At 41.8% G+C, this 15,621-nt stretch overlaps 1 protein-coding gene and 1 long non-coding RNA gene across 4 annotated transcripts in view; both read left to right on the top strand.

Annotated features, from left to right (window-relative positions):
• The window catches only part of C1QTNF3-AMACR (C1QTNF3-AMACR readthrough (NMD candidate)), a 137,543-nt gene that overhangs the window by 77,858 nt on the left and 44,064 nt on the right, over positions 1-15,621 (top strand). Inside the window, exons 2-3 of the long non-coding RNA NR_037951.1 lie at positions 10,913-11,024; positions 13,213-13,367. This is a non-coding gene — a long non-coding RNA (C1QTNF3-AMACR readthrough (NMD candidate)). The remainder of the gene's footprint in view (positions 1-10,912; positions 11,025-13,212; positions 13,368-15,621) is intronic.
• The window catches only part of C1QTNF3 (C1q and TNF related 3), a 226,867-nt gene that overhangs the window by 198,054 nt on the left and 13,192 nt on the right, over positions 1-15,621 (top strand). Inside the window, exons 1-3 of one of the 3 annotated variants that reach the window (NM_030945.4) lie at positions 3,458-3,629; positions 10,913-11,024; positions 13,213-13,367. In NM_030945.4, coding sequence (NP_112207.1) covers positions 3,546-3,629; positions 10,913-11,024; positions 13,213-13,367 — 351 coding nt within the window. In that variant the 5' untranslated portion in view covers positions 3,458-3,545. Of the gene's footprint in view, positions 1-3,457; positions 3,849-10,912; positions 11,025-13,212; positions 13,368-15,621 lie in introns of those variants that run through there. The other 2 variants (NM_181435.6, NR_146599.1) reach the window with 2 other exon arrangements.

Here is a 15,621-nt window from a genome sequence, read left to right as displayed (position 1 = left end):
AACAGTGAAATTTATTGTGTCACAGTTTTGGAGTCTCAACGTCTGAGATCAAGGTGTTAGCAGGGTTGGTTCCCCCTAAGGGTTGTGAGAGAATCATCTGTTCCACGCTTCTCACCTACCTTCTGGTGGTCTGCTGGCAATCTTTGGTATTCCTTGGCTTGTAAATGCATTACCCTCATCCCTGCTTTCATTTTCACATAGTGTTCTCCTGTGTGCATGTCTGCCTCTGTGTCTAAGTTCTCCCTTTTTATAAAGACACAGTCATTTTGGGTCAGGGCCCACCCTAATGACCTCATCTTAAGTTGATCACCTTTAAAGACCTATTCAAAAGTAAACTGAGGCACAATACAGTTTTAAAGAGTTTGAGCAAACAGCAATTCATGACTCAGGCATGAGTCTAAACCAGAAGAGGTTCAGGAGCTCTACCAAGGGAGCACAAGGGGTGGGGAGGCTTCTACAGGACAAACACAGATATAAAGCAAATAAAATAGTTGATTGGTTACAGTTGTACAATTGCCTTATTTGGTCTCTCCCATTGGAAAGCTTCTGAGTCATTTAACTTACATTGTGTTTTTCTTTAATATAGGCATTTACAAAAAGTTGCTGAAGTTAAGTTTTGCCTATGTTTGCAAACCAAGCAAGGTTAAGGCCACTTATGAAACCTAATTGGCTTTGTCTGCTAAGGGATTCTTCAGGCCTGGTGTCTATTTTCATTTACTTTAACAATCCCTATTTTTAAATAGGTCATATTTGCAGGTACTAGGGATTAGGACTTAAGTTTCTTTTGGGGGTACATAATCCAACCCATAATACTTTCTGACCCCAATTCTTGAAGGCAGGCTCCCTGGCAGCTCTCAGACTGACCTTCTTCTCTCTGCCATTGACCCATTATTGATTTCTTGGGAGAGATCAATAATGGGCCAATGGCAGAGAGAAGGAGAGATCCTTCTTTGCAGAATCCTTCTCTGTAGATCTTTCTCTATAGCAAGGCAGGAGAACTCACTCTGGAAAGACAGATGGAGTCCAGTTCTTTCCAGCTGCATAACACAAGACAAGTCACTTTACCTCTGCAAGCTTCTATCACCTCATCTATAAGATGGGATCATAGGTTTGCCAACAGAAGTCAGTGAGATAAAGCAAAGTAGTACTTGGCTAGCACATGGTAAGTGCTTAACAAATTATGGATATTATTATTTATTCCTTTTGAGTCAATGAGAGGATGGATCAGTGATTCCTAACCCTGGATGCACCTTAGAATCATCTGAGGGAAGCTTTTAAAAACTGCCCAGGCCCCAGTACAGATTCTGACTCAATTGGTCTGGGATAGAGTCCAGGCATTAATATTTTTAGAAGCTCCTTGGTTTAATATGCAGCCAGGGTTGAGAACCACTAGAATAGATGACAGGATTGAAAACACGAATGGAAAGTCTCAATGCGGTAGAAAGTCAGAGGCTGATTTATAGTTACTTAGCAGTATGGCCCACTTCGTGGGGGATGCATGATGGTGAGAGCCAGAGACAGCTCTTGGAAAACCTGTGAATTGGGTGACCTAGATTTCAGAGCCACTGCTTGCTTTGTGGTCTCCCTGTGACATTTTCTCTGGGCCTCCCTGAGGAGGGAACACCCCCACTGAGACACTGCTCTGGGCTTTCCTTCCCACAGCAAAAGCCCATCCACTTGCTCACCCTCCAAACACAGGCGCCATCCTTTCCCCAGCTCCAGCTCCAGGTCTGGGAAGAAAATCCTCAGTTACTAAGAATAACAGTTTGACACACTTCCCTTCCCAGGGACATCTACCTTTTAATGGTGGACATGACAGAACTCAAGGAATCCTCCAGTGAGGAAGGTTTAGATGCTCAAGGGTAGACTTGTAGCACAGAGATGGCTGAATTTTTATGCCCTACTAGGTGGGAACTGACTGCTTGGACTGAACATGACTCCCAAGGCCCCTGAACTGTGGCCTGGAGAGCTTTTAGTTCACAGAGTAACTCTCTCCCTCCGTCCCCAGCACCAAACCCTTTCCATGTATAAGTGTGGACTCTGGAAGCGGCTGTTCTGGTAGCTGCAGGAGGGGCCAGGCTAGTTTTGACAGTTCTGGCCACTTCCAGAGATGGCTCTTGGTTCTCAGGCCCTTGGCTGAGCAATGGGGGCAGCTGTCAACAGCTCTCTCTCCTCTCCCCTTTCCCCAGCTGCTCTGACTCTTCATCAGCAGGCTGAGCTTCTCCAAGCCTCAGTTTCCCACAGTGCCTCCTCGCCCCCTTCTCATCAGACGCTTGCCACCCATGCTATTTACGGTCCTGGGTCTCTCCAGTTTTCATGAGAGAAGGCCAGTAACATTTTCTTAAGCGAGTGAATGAGTAATATAAATAAAATCATATGTAAATAGAAGCAATTTTTGATGACAAAACTGTTTAAATTCTCTTAATTTATTATCCTGAAGCAATTAGGAATGTCCATTTTCTTTTTGGCTGAATTAATAAAAGTATAGCAACTAAAGCAAAGACATGAGAATCCTCTTAATCTGGATACGCTGTGTTTGAAATAACGTGTTTGGTGCTTTCCACTTCTTCAGTTTTGTTATTTATTTATTTTTTAAGTAGAGACAGGGTCTCACTAAGTTGCCCAGGCTGGCCTCGAATTTCTGGGCTCAAGGGATCTACCTGTCTTGGGCTCTCAAGGTGCTGGGATTACAGGCATGAGCCACTGTGCCCGGCCCCGTTTCTATTTTAATCAAGAATATGTCAAAAGAAAGAGGAGCCAGAGACAGCCTTCTCTTAACACAAAGCAGGGTGTTGTATCTTCATCTGACAATAAGTGACTTAGTTAACTTTGATTTAATTTTGGCTTTTGGGAAGTCATGGGGAAAAGAAGTAAAGCTGAGGGTGGCGAAATACCTTTGCTAAACCCAGAGACACTGCACCTGAATCCTGCTCAGTGTTTTGTAGGCAACCAACTGCCTTCTGCCACTGGTATCCGGAAGGGGAAATGAGTTACCTTAAGTGGGCCAAAGTGGGGAAATACTAACAGTACAGCTAGAAACCAAGAGCTGTCGTGAAAGCCCTGAATGGGTTCCCACTGCTATTTCAGACAAAACTGATGCAGTTAAGCCTGAATTTCCTGGCAAGCACAAGGGTAGATTTTTCCAAAAGGCTTTTTAGACTGCAAATACACAGCCTTTCCATGTCTAATCACAAAAGCAAACTGCTGGACACATGCTCTCTGTTCCCAGCTGGTTGTGTATGTTTTCTTCACACTTCAACAGAAACGTGCCAAGGTGTGACATTTATGAATTTCGCCAACTGGGAACTGTGCACACAAATCGTTCTTGCTTGTGGTGTGGGAAAATGATGAATGGGGGCTGTTCTGCCTGGGGAGGAGGGCTGCTGTCACTCTGGCATGCCTACAGCCTTATTTATTACACACCAAAGTATAAAACCACTCCGCCGCTGCAGCTCTCAGCTCCAGTCCTGGCATCTGCCCGAGGAGACCACGCTCCTGGAGCTCTGCTGTCTTCTCAGGGAGACTCTGAGGCTCTGTTGAGAATCATGCTTTGGAGGCAGCTCATCTATTGGCAACTGCTGGCTTTGTTTTTCCTCCCTTTTTGCCTGTGTCAAGATGAATACATGGAGGTGAGCGGAAGAACTAATAAAGTGGTGGCAAGAATAGTGCAAAGCCACCAGCAGACTGGCCGTAGCGGCTCCAGGAGGGAGAAAGTGAGAGAGCGGAGCCATCCTAAAACTGGGACTGTGGATAATAACACTTCTACAGACCTAAAATCCCTGAGACCAGATGAGCTACCGCACCCCGAGGTAGATGACCTAGCCCAGATCACCACATTCTGGGGCCAGGTACTCAGAATTCTCTTCTAAGGATTTTTGTGAAAGCTTAATGAGTGTTGTTGTTGTTGTTTTGTTGTTGTTCTTTTTTTGGCTAAGATTCTTAGAATCAATGAATGCTTTCGAGAAGTTCGCTAAGCTGCTTGTGAATCTCTTTCTGGATTGCTCTTGGGTACAAGAGAGACTGTCGGTCTCTGTTAGAAAATCAGCAGAGGCAGCAATGATGTGATGGGATAGTGGCCGTAGCATCACCCCATCAGAAAGGGGAACCTGGCCAGCCAGCTTCCTGCTATGCTGGGACTTGATTTCCTTCTTGCTCTGTTGGTCCGGAAAGGAGTGCTGACCCATGCAGACAGATCGGTCACTGTAGACAATCATTTGTTGTTCTTAAGAGAATTGGGCTTTCTTCATCCCTTCCGGCAGGGAGAAGCTGCCCTTTGAGTTTGTCAAAAGCAATCAAAGTTTTTTTACTTTGATTTGTGAGTATACTGTGACATTTCATGGCAGTCTTGTTTATTTGATTTATAGCATTCTAGATTGTTAAGCCTCTCTGTTCAGCCTGTTTTAAAAAGAATTAAAGAGTTAAATAAAAAATAAACTGTTTGAAATGCATACCTTATAGCATGATTTGATGCCTGATAATCACAGAGGACTTGATCTATTTCTCAGGTTATAAATTCAGCTCTAAGGAAATATCTTTAACTCTTGGTAGTATGAGAGTGAGTTAAGATTTCAGTATAGTGAATTGCAAATTGGTGAAACTCAATGTAATTTAAAATATTAAGTACAGGAAGAGACATATTTTGAATTACCCTCTAGACATCTAGTATGCTGAAAACTGTCAGAGGGGGCAAGAAGAGTTACTTTGAGTTATATGATATTTGAACATACAGGTTTTTACTACAAGATTTGATTACTTTAATGCATTAAATAGGACCTGAAGAATTTCTTGTAATTGAAATCTAAATCCTTCCTACCATGGATTCAGAAGTTTGGGTTGGTTGTTTGGTTATATGGTCAGACCAAGATCACACACAGAATCAATTGCAGATTTGAAACTAACCCAGAACTTCTAACTTGACCACACAAGGCAGTTGCCCAAACCATTCTGTGGGGGATGCATCCAGAGAAAATTGCTTCTTTAAGGAGCCACGGAAGAAATGATAATCTCTAAATATGATCCTATCTTTTGAAAACCACTTTTAGAGATTGTCTATTCATCTGATAATCTTTTGGCTAAAGGGTAATGATTAGCACTAATTTGTGTGTGGGTTTTTGTTTGTTTTTGTTTTGTGGTGAAGATATTTTCACTTGTGTCCAAGACTTGATCTGGACTTTCCATTTCACACATGGTATCCTTCTTGGCCAACAGATGGTATCTTTCCTGGCCATGACAGTGTGATTCCCCCAGAGGAAGCAGAAGGAAGTTAAAGGTTGTCTTTGGTCATTATGTCCTGACAACCAACACCCAGCAGGCCACTGAAATTCAAATCACATTTCTCCTTCACTCTACCTTCTAGGTTCCTGAAGTATTTTCAAACAAACCACCAACAGGAGATATTGAGGATATTTAGAGTTACTGACATTCTGGAAGTTTTCACTACAACTCCTCTACCAACGGCTATGGAAACCACAGTTTGCATTTAGGATTGTGCTATGTTCTTCCTTCTTTCCCTACTTCCCCTGTCCCTCTTCTTTGATCGTAATTCAATTTTCCTCTTATTCATTCAGTTCCCGTGTATTTCTTGTGCTTCTACTTTGTACCAAACTTTAAAAGGGGGGCCAGGGATATATAAAGATAAATATGCCTGAGCTCCCATGTCCAAACCATCCTGAAGGGCTGTAGTAGAGATAAATTTTTGTTAATTAAATTAAGTTTAATTAAATGCCATGTGTTAAATAAAGTCAGTACATGAAAGGCAATTGGGCAAAAGTGTCAAAGTACTGATAGTTTTTGAGCTGGATCTTAAAAGATGGTATTAAAAGAATGACTATCCACAGCAAATTAAAAAAAAAAAAGTGCTGCAACAGAGACTGGAAAGCCTGTGAGGAGTTGGCTGTGGCTGAAGCTCCTGGGTTGGGGATGCAGGGGTGGGGGTTGGGGGGACGACGGGACATTACACGACTTTAGTGCCAAGAAGGATTCTGCTAGCTGGTTTAGGAGCTTAGATTTTGCTTTGCTAGCTAGGTTTTGTTTGTTCATAGCAGGACAGTGAGGTAATCAGATATATGGTCTGGAAAGATGCTCCAGCTGTGGGTTCATGGTGGAGTACAATGGCCAGAGATCTGGGGTGGGCAGACCTGGGCTCTTTTTTCCTGGTATTTTCTTCTCTGTAGCCTCTTTTTCATTCACCTTTGTCAATCTCCCCTCCTTCTCCCGGATACCCATTTCTCCCTCCTCCCACTTCCCTTCCTCTTCTTTCTTTTCCCTTTTTTTGGGGCAGGAGGTTTAAAAAAAGGAGCTATGACTCTCCTTCCTAGAAGTCACTTACTAGTAGTAGAGCTCAGTTCTGCATCCCTACCCCTAGGCCTCCATCTGCAAAATTGATGGAGCATTTCTTAGAGACAAACTCTTTCTCGCATGCTGCAAATTTACCTGCCTTTTGCATACAAATTTGTCCTGCTTTTGGGAAAGGGGATGATAAACAAGGAGGTCATAAATAGCAACTACCTACATGTAATTTTCCCTTACCTAGGAGAAAACTTCTGAATTAACACATCCCTTCCAACTTGTTCTAAGAGTTCCAACAAAAGACTCAACAATGCAAAAGCATTGCTCCATTCAACTGAACTTTGAAAGACAAGGCCAGAGGAAGGAACGTGTAATGCAATGCTGCTGAAGGGTTCTCACGAGGTGCTCGACTAGTAGTAACCAGAAGTCTCTCACTGTTCTGGTGGCAGCTCTGTGCCCTCAAAGTGCCCTCAAGTAGCTTGGTCTTGCACTTCCAATCCTAGTTGGCTCTAGCATTGAGCAACTTCATCTCCTGGAGCTGAATTCTTGTGCCTAGATACTAAAAACAAAATGTTTCTAAATTATTATTTGAGGCTTTGGAAAATACTTTAGTATCTTTGCATTGTAGAGCTGGAAAAAAATGCGAGACGACTGTAGTGGAAAAGTGGGAAATCTTCTCTTGTTTCATCCTCTGAAGATTCTCTGAAAATTAACTGTCCAAAGGCAGATCAATAGGAGAAACACACATACCGCATGGGGATGATTTCCCAATAGCCCAATGTGGTATGCATGCTTACACACCCTTCCACGTAGGGTAGCAGGGAGTTGGGGAATGTAGAAGTAAATTACAAAGTTCCTCTGAGCCCTGAGGGAGGTGCTGTTACCAAAAGTGAATCCACACGGGTCTGCAACAACCTCAATTCTTGGCTCCTCAATTCCATTGAGGGTCATAAGGCGGAAGGAGAGACCAACGCAAGTTTTAGAGCAGGAATGAAAGTTTATTAAAAAGTTTTAGAGCAGGAACAAAAGGAAGGCAGGTATACTTGGAAAGGGCTAAATGGGCAACTTGAAAGACAAGTGCACGGTTTGACCTTTTGACTTGGGGTTTTTTTACGTTGGCATACTTCTGGGGTCTTGCGTTACTTCTCCCTTGATTCTTCCCTTGGGGTGGGTTGTCCACATGTGTAGTGGCCTGCCAGCACTTACTTGGGAGGTGAGCATGCATAGTATGTTTACTGGAGTTGTAACCATGCTCACTTGAGGTATTCTTCCCTTACCAGCCAAATGCTCCTAGGAGGTCATTTGCCAATTAAACTCTGCCATTTTGCCTCTTAATGCACATGCTTGAGCCCACTTGCGCAACTCCTGAGATCTTATTGGGAAGCTGCCGATAACCAGTTTCAGGTTTTTGCTATCTTTAGGAAGACTGCCTTTACCCGGCACTGGCTGCAACCAATTATTATTTTAGAGAAACAGTTAAAAGCCACTTGATCATCACCTGATGATCACCTGATATTCCCGGTCAGGTGGAGCCCTCCCCTACCCTGCTCATGTCTGAGTAGCTACCTACTGTAACAGTATCAAGAAGGGAAGGGAGAGAAATTTACTGTGAACAGAGGTTGTCTTAAAGCTTCCCAGATTATGGCTCCTAGCTTCCCTCAGGAAATAGAAAAAAAGCCTGTCTGAGCCTTGTGATGACTCCCAGTCTCTTCAGTTCTCCAGTGGTTAATCTTTCCTGGTTATTTGATGAGATTCCTAAGGAGGGGGTCTTAAGACAATTGCATTTCTTTTGGAAAGATGCTTTCTTAGTCAAATAAAGAAATTCCAGACAGAGTCCCTCCCGGCACTTCTGGAAAGAAGATCAGAGAGACTGGGAGGCAGGGAAAGGTCAGAGAGAGACCTTGGATCTGAGGCTTCTCTCTCTTTTTTTAATAAGAGATTTGCCACAAGTCAGTTTTCCCTGTGATAGCTCTTCCAATACGTCTTTCTTAAAACACCTAAGTTCAGAAGGATCATGAGGCCCCTCTCTCATGATCTGCATTCATACTGAAAATCAAGATCAAGCAAGCTTTTGTCCTGCTCTGCAGAGCCTTCCATCCTCCCTGTGCTCACCTTATCTTCGTGGCTTATTTCTGAAGCCTTCCATTTCCAAAGCACTCAACACGCTGAAGCACGTATTTTGAAGAGTCATTTTCTGTGCACCAACACCACCTCATCCAATCCTCTGATTTAATAGCCAAAAACAAAACAAACAAAAAAAGATGTCTGGAGAACAGCGACTTCTCTAAGGTCACACAGCACCATGATGGAAATTCTGGTTTCAGTCCAGTGGGTGTTTCAACATTCCTAAGCATCTCAGTATTTCCATTCCATTCCTATATCGATGGTTCCACTTGAGGATTTTCCCTCCTTCCCCTCCCTTCTCCATCCTTAAAATTCATCATTGGCAGAGCCCTGGATTTTCTGAGGTTTAAAAGGCTGAATTTCACATTGGCAAAACCATAACAGGAAATATGGAATCCTTCCTTCTCAGATTACAGTTTTGGATTAGAAGGTGGGGTGTGCCGTGGTGTCTTTGACTTTCCAAGTGTCCTGAAATCCCTCAGATAAAATCCCTGAGATGAAATCCCTCATCTCAAACCAATGGCTTTAGTTGACTTTTCTTCCCCTACCAATTTGACAGAAGGTTTTCATAGACTCTAGTTCTTGTCCAGGTTTGAGCCTGGTAGACTGAAGACAAGACTAGGAGTTAGCTCTAAGTTATAGCTCCTGATCAGGCAAGACTTGGGTTCTGAGAGGTTGCAGGAGAATGCTTGTGCTACAGATTCTGTTCTGTGTTTTCCCTGAATAGCTTGGTGGAAAATTTTAGGACAAAGCAGTGAGAGAGTGAGAACAAAATTCAAGCCCATTTTTTATTAAAGAAAAGAAAGTAAGGTCTAAGTGTTTAACTGTGTGAAGTTTGATCCAGTTCTCTGCTTAAATTTTTAGTGACAAATACAACTTGAATTTTAAATTCTTTTTTCCTCCCTCTGTGTCTCCTTTTTCTTTCTCTTCTTCCCTGGCCTCCTTTTTCTCTCCTTTGCTTCATTTTTTTCATGAATCTCTTAGCAACAACATGCTGTTTTCAAAAGACCGTTGAATTATAATTGATGTCTAGGAACATTTCCACAAGTATTTTGTATGACATAATTAATAGGCAAGTTGCCAGTTTAGATGGGAGTTCAAATTTCATAAGCAACTTTAACTCTTCTGTCAATCAACTTCCACTAGGTCTTTAGCTCTTTGACGGTAAACATACATTTTAGAAATTTATCTTTGTATAAATAAGCATTTCACTCAGTGTCATACTTGAGCATGTTTAGTACCCATTAAGTGCTTATTAAACATTGGTTCAAACAGTGAGATAATCATTTCACAATTTTTTTTTTTTGAGACTGTGTCTTGCTCTTGTCGCCCAGGCTGGAGTACAATGGTGCTATCTCAGCTCACTGCAACCTCCGCCTCCTGGGTTCAAGTGATTCTCCTGCCTCAGCCTCCCAAGTAGCTGGGATTACAGGCATGCACCAGCATGCCTGGCTAATTTTTGTATTTTTAGTAGAGATGGGATTTCACCATGCTGGCCAGGCTGGTCTCCAACTCCTGACCTCAGGTGATCCACCTGCCTCGGCCTCCAAAAGTGCTGGGATTACAGGCATCAGCCACCATGCTCAGCCCAATCATTTCACATTTTAAAGTGGAATGTGTGAAATAGAAATCATGTTAAATAGTTGATTTACTGATAAAGTTAAAGTTGTTTCAAGATGTAGATAATTAATAAAAATGTATTGGACTTATAGTTAATAGCAATGTATTATATTCTTGAAAATTGTTAGGAGTAGATTTTAAGTGCTCTCTCTACAAAAACAGTATATGAGACAACACATATGTTAATTAGCTCAATTTAGTATTTTACACTGTGTACTTATTTTATAACAACATGTTATACGTGATAAATATATATATAATTTCTAGTTGTCAGTTAAATAAGTAAATAAATGTATTGGACTAAAAAATACTTTATTTCCTTCGTTTTCTAAGACAATTTAAGTGTGCTATGGCTGTTTGAAAAACTAGTGTTACTATTCAGAATTTCTAAGAGATCTTAATCTAGCTCTTAACTCAGTATCATGGATATAGTAAGCATTTAAAAACAGTGCTTAAAGTGGATAATTCTTGTAATTTGAGGACCATCTACTCAATTTAGCTACATCTGGGGCTATGGCAGTTGGAAAAGAGAAAAGGCTTCCAAGTCCACTTCTGAAGGAGTTTCTTCCTTTGCTGTTACAGTAGCAGCAGGAAGGCACTTTCCAGAAATAGGACCCAACTTCCCACCCCCACCCACACGCTTTTCAAAGAGCATCTTCCTCTATTGACTTTCTTGTTGCCTTTTCCTTTGATCATCAACTGACCTTAGCTACTCCCTGACCCTTTGCCATTGATATCTCCACCCCATCCCATCTTTTGTGATCTTGCTGTGATTCGATTGGAATTAAGCTTACCTAAGGGCCAAGGCCAGTGGAAATTTAAAAATCCTAATTGCTCACAAGTACCTTTTTTTCTGAAGCTTCTCTTTCTGTCTTTTTAGTCTCCACAAACCGGAGGACTACCCCCAGACTGCAGTAAGTGTTGTCATGGAGACTACAGCTTTCGAGGCTACCAAGGCCCCCCTGGGCCACCGGGCCCTCCTGGCATTCCAGGTAAGGATGAGCAAGACATACTGTCAATCTAATTGCAGCCTGAGCTAAAGTAGGAGCAAAGGGCAAACCTTAATAATTTGGGATCACTTCTGTGTGATCCAAAGGATCCGCTAGACTCTTGGCACCCTGGAATACCAGGTTCATAGGCTGGGAGGCTCCTCAACAGCATTGAGTCCGAAACGACCAGGTCATAGTCTTCGTTCCAGTATATCTGCCACAGCATGCTTTATGAAGGGCAGAGTAGAGCCAAAAGCTTACTGCTCTGGGCTACAGCCATCTCAATGCCAGTCACTGAGCTGTGCATCCTTCTGTGTGACTCTAGGTCCAGCTAAGTGCTTCTTCCTCCAGTCTCAGGATCTCTCCATGTTCAGCCGTCTCTCAGTTGACTCTCATGCCACTCTTGACCTCATGGAAACATTTTTAGGCTCCAGTACCATGTAGTGGTATGGGGAATGCTCTGGAGCTACATGAGACCCCACTAGACCAGCAATTCAGTCATCTGTACTGTGCCAATGCCACCAGGCATAGGAGAGTGCCGCGGGCCTGCTGGTACCCTGGGTCAGTCCAGGAAAGGGTAGCCCAGGTCTCCTCAATATGGGGCTCCCAAGCCTATCTTGGGTTTTATTGTCTTCATCCTCAGGTTAATCCCTAGGGTAGGACCTCATCTCAGGGTCTGGCCAAAGTCCACTGGCTCTTCTGTGACTTACTCTCATTGATGTTAATATTTATCAAATGTGGTTCAATTTTTTTTCTACTTTTGAGTAGCTTCTTGCACAAAACCAAATTTACAGCAAGAAAATCTTATGTTAAACTTTAAACTACACTTACTGGCTTGGAATCTATGTCATTGGCCATCAAGGACAGCAGCCAGCAGGAGCAATGATGTAGGGGTAGGGCCTACTTCGACCCTTGTAAAATCTTCTCAGGTCTTAACTCTTGTGAGGTTACACAAAAGATTGGCCTTGGTTAAATGTTTTCTAACCAGGAAATGGCTTTGTCACTGAACACATTAATTTGTAAACACAGTCAAAGTTCATCCATTTGGTAGGGTTGTAAGCCTGGTATGATAACCAACCAAGGGTAGCATGCAAAATGAACAGCAAAAAGCCTGAAATTTAGCAAATATTAAAAATAAAGAAGAGGTGTAGAAATTGTCTCTTGTTGGCAAAGGGAAAAGTTAAAATTGTTTTCCAACTCTTGCTTTCAAAATCATTGCTGTAATTTGTTTAATGAATGAGTTTACCTTTTCCCCAGTTATAAAAGTGATGTGTTTTTTGTAGAAAACTTCAAAGAAACAGAAAAATATACAGAATGACATGAAAATTACTCATGTTCCACATTTAGAAAAGAACCTCTGTGAATATTTTTCTGTAACTTATTCTTGTCTTTTTTTCCCTATGGATATAATACATAAACACATATTTTTCCAAACAAAGATAGTATCATGTTATTTCTATTTACTCATAACTTTCTTTTGCCTGAAACAAAGTCTGGCTCTTTTGTCCAGGCTGGAGTGAAGTGGCATGATCCAGGCTCCCTGTAGCCTTGGCCTCTTAGGCTCAAGAGGTCATCCTGCCTCAGTCTCCCAAATAGCTGGGACTACAGGTGTGCACCACCACTCCTGGCTAATTTTTTAATTTCTATTTTTGTAAAGATGGGATCTCACCATATTGCTCAAGCTTGTCTCAAACTCTAGGGCTCAAGTGATCCTCCCACTGTGGCTTCGCAAAGTGTTGAGATTACAGTTGTGAGCCACTGTACCTGGCCACTTATAACTTTAAAATCTAAAAATATCATGAATATCACTATATCATTAAATGTTTTTCTTCAGCCTTCTTTTTTATGACTATATAACATAGTTTCTAGAATATGTCATGCCCTCCTAGTATTGGTGATTATATAGGTGGTTTCCAATCTTTGCTATTTTAAATGATAATGTGATAATCAGAATTGTACACAATTTTTCCTCCAAGCCTCGCTTCAAAGGATAAACAGGCTTTGGAGCTTTAGGGTATCTAAGGCTTCTTTCAGAGCCTATTGCCCTATTTAGATGATGATACCCCTTGGTTATATTTGGGATTATTCTGAATGGTCCCCTTTCATAATTGAGTTTGGATAGTATGTCTAGAAATGGATGGTAAGTATGAGTGACTGGGTTTTCTCATGTGATGATGTCTGGTTGTTTAAGGAAACCATGGAAACAATGGCAACAATGGAGCCACTGGTCATGAAGGAGCCAAAGGTGAGAAGGGCGACAAAGGTGACCTGGGGCCTCGAGGGGAGCGGGGGCAGCATGGCCCCAAAGGAGAGAAGGGCTACCCGGGGATTCCACCAGAACTTCAGGTAAACCATCCTCGGTACATCTCCTGGTGGCTTTCCAACCTGCCTGACCAAAAGGGGCCAGGAATCAGGATGTTCGAGCGCTTCCTCAAGTCTTCCCCAATCCTGAGTAAATCTGAGTCTCAGTTTGTTCATCTACATCACAGGATGTTTGCATAAGGCCCATACTGTCCAAAAGGAGGACTTAGATACTATTCTTAGGGAGGAGAGACATTTATGAAGGGTGAAATCTAAGTCCCTCATAGAACCAAATCCAAGGCAACCCTAAATATAAACTTATCTCCTATTTTCCCAAATAAGATGTTTTAAGAATGTAATAAGATGTAATAAGGGTTTGGGCCAACTTGAATGTATAAACATTTAAGTATATAAATGGAATGATGAAATGTCTAGTTATAATATTGTATTTATTAACATTGTTATATTTACATATACTAATCCATACATAAATATTGATATATATTGTTTTCTCTCAACTCAGATTTTGTGGTATAATTTTTGTTTATTTTTTGAAACAGAGTCTTGCTCTGTTGTCCAGGCTGGAGTACAGTGGCACGATCTTGGCTCACTGCAACCTCTTCCTCGTGGGTTTGAGCAATTCTCCTGCCTCAGCCTCCCTATAGCTGGAATTACAGGCATGCATCACCACACCTGGCTAATTTTTGTATTTCTAATACAGACGGGTTTTTGCCATGGTGGCCAGGCTGGTCTCAAATTCCTGGCCTGAAGTGATCTGCCTGCCTCGGCCTCCCAAAAAAGTGCTGGGATTACAGGCTTGAGCCACCACACTTGACCTTGTGGTATAATTTTTACTTGAGCTTTTCTTGTCAGAATCTTCTTTATCAATGGAGAATTTCAGTTTTGAGCCATCCACTCAGTGTTCCAGACCAGATTACATTCATTTCAGCATAAAGTTTAAAAAATCAATTTATGAGGTTAAAACTGTACATTTTTTTCCAGGCTCAAGTACCCATTTACCTATTCTTTCTCTCTCTTTTAAATGATCATTAAAGTTCTTATTGCCAACACGATCTTAAACTTGTAAATGTGAGGTTAGGTCACAAGGAAAATTACTAACTTTGGGTTATTTCTGGAAGGTGGAGGAGGGCTAATATTTTGAAATGGATCCCCTCTGGGGGACTTCTATCAGCATTGAAAACTAGCATTTTTTAAAAATTAAGTTTCTTTCTGACTAGTGTCTTCCCAAAAAAAGTAACTTGTGGATAAAAATAAAGTAACTGAGATAAAGTACTGCAACATGAGAGATTTTTGAAGAACTAGACTATAAAGCGATTCTTGCCTGAAAGATCAATTAGGGGGAAACTGTCTTTCATTTGTGCGTGTATGGTGGTGGTTTGACCCTGTATAAGTTCCATCATTTTTCTGGGCCTTGGTTTCTCAAGTTTAAAATAGCTTGAATAGTTAGTGTGTTACTCTCATTTGTGGGTTTTGCAACTTTTAAATGAAAGCCGTTTTGTTTTGTTTTGTGTGTGTGTGCACAGGCTGGAGTGCAGTGGTGTGATCTTGGCTCACTGCAGCCTCCACCAAGGTTCAAGCGATTCTCTTGCCTCAGCCTCTGGAGTAGCTGGGATTACAGGTGCGTGACACCATGCCCGGCTAATTTTTTTGTATTTTTAGTAGAGACGGCATTTCTCTATGTTGGCCAGGCTGATCTCAAACTCCTGGCCTCCAGTGATCGGCCTGCCTCGGCCTCCCAAAGTGCTGGGATTACAGGTGTGAGCCACTGTGCCTAGCCAAATGCTGTTTAATAATTTCAGCAACCTGGGATCCATGTGCCAATATAAATTTACAAACAAAAAGGCTAGAGATGCCACTCAGCCAGGTTAAGGTATTTAATAAGACAGAAGATAAACATCTCAAAGCTAGACACTCTAACCCATAACCTATGAATGGTAAACCACGGAGAAGGGGCCCTAGAGTAGCCAGTTTGATAGAGAACATTCTGGGCAATTATTAAATTTGTCCCATCAGCTATTTTACCCTAAAATCACAATACAATCATTTGGGTCTTACACAGATTGTGAAGGAGGGAACTTCACATTCTTTGAAGGTCCCAGCAAATTAAAGAATTTATTAATCTAACTTACACTCAGTTTCAATGACTCATTTGGACGAAGGATTAACTTTGACTTTCACAGCTCATTCTTCAATGGTGGTTTTAAGCAAAAGCTTTTCTTTTCTTTTCTTTTTTTTTAACTTTTATTCTAAGTTCAGGGGTACATGTGCAGGTTTTTTA

The sequence above is a fragment of the Homo sapiens genome, chromosome 5 (assembly GCF_000001405.40).
Source record: "Homo sapiens chromosome 5, GRCh38.p14 Primary Assembly".
Lineage (NCBI taxonomy): Eukaryota > Metazoa > Chordata > Mammalia > Primates > Hominidae > Homo > Homo sapiens.
Note: the sequence above shows the minus strand (reverse complement) of the source record. Positions and strands in the feature narration are given on the sequence as shown.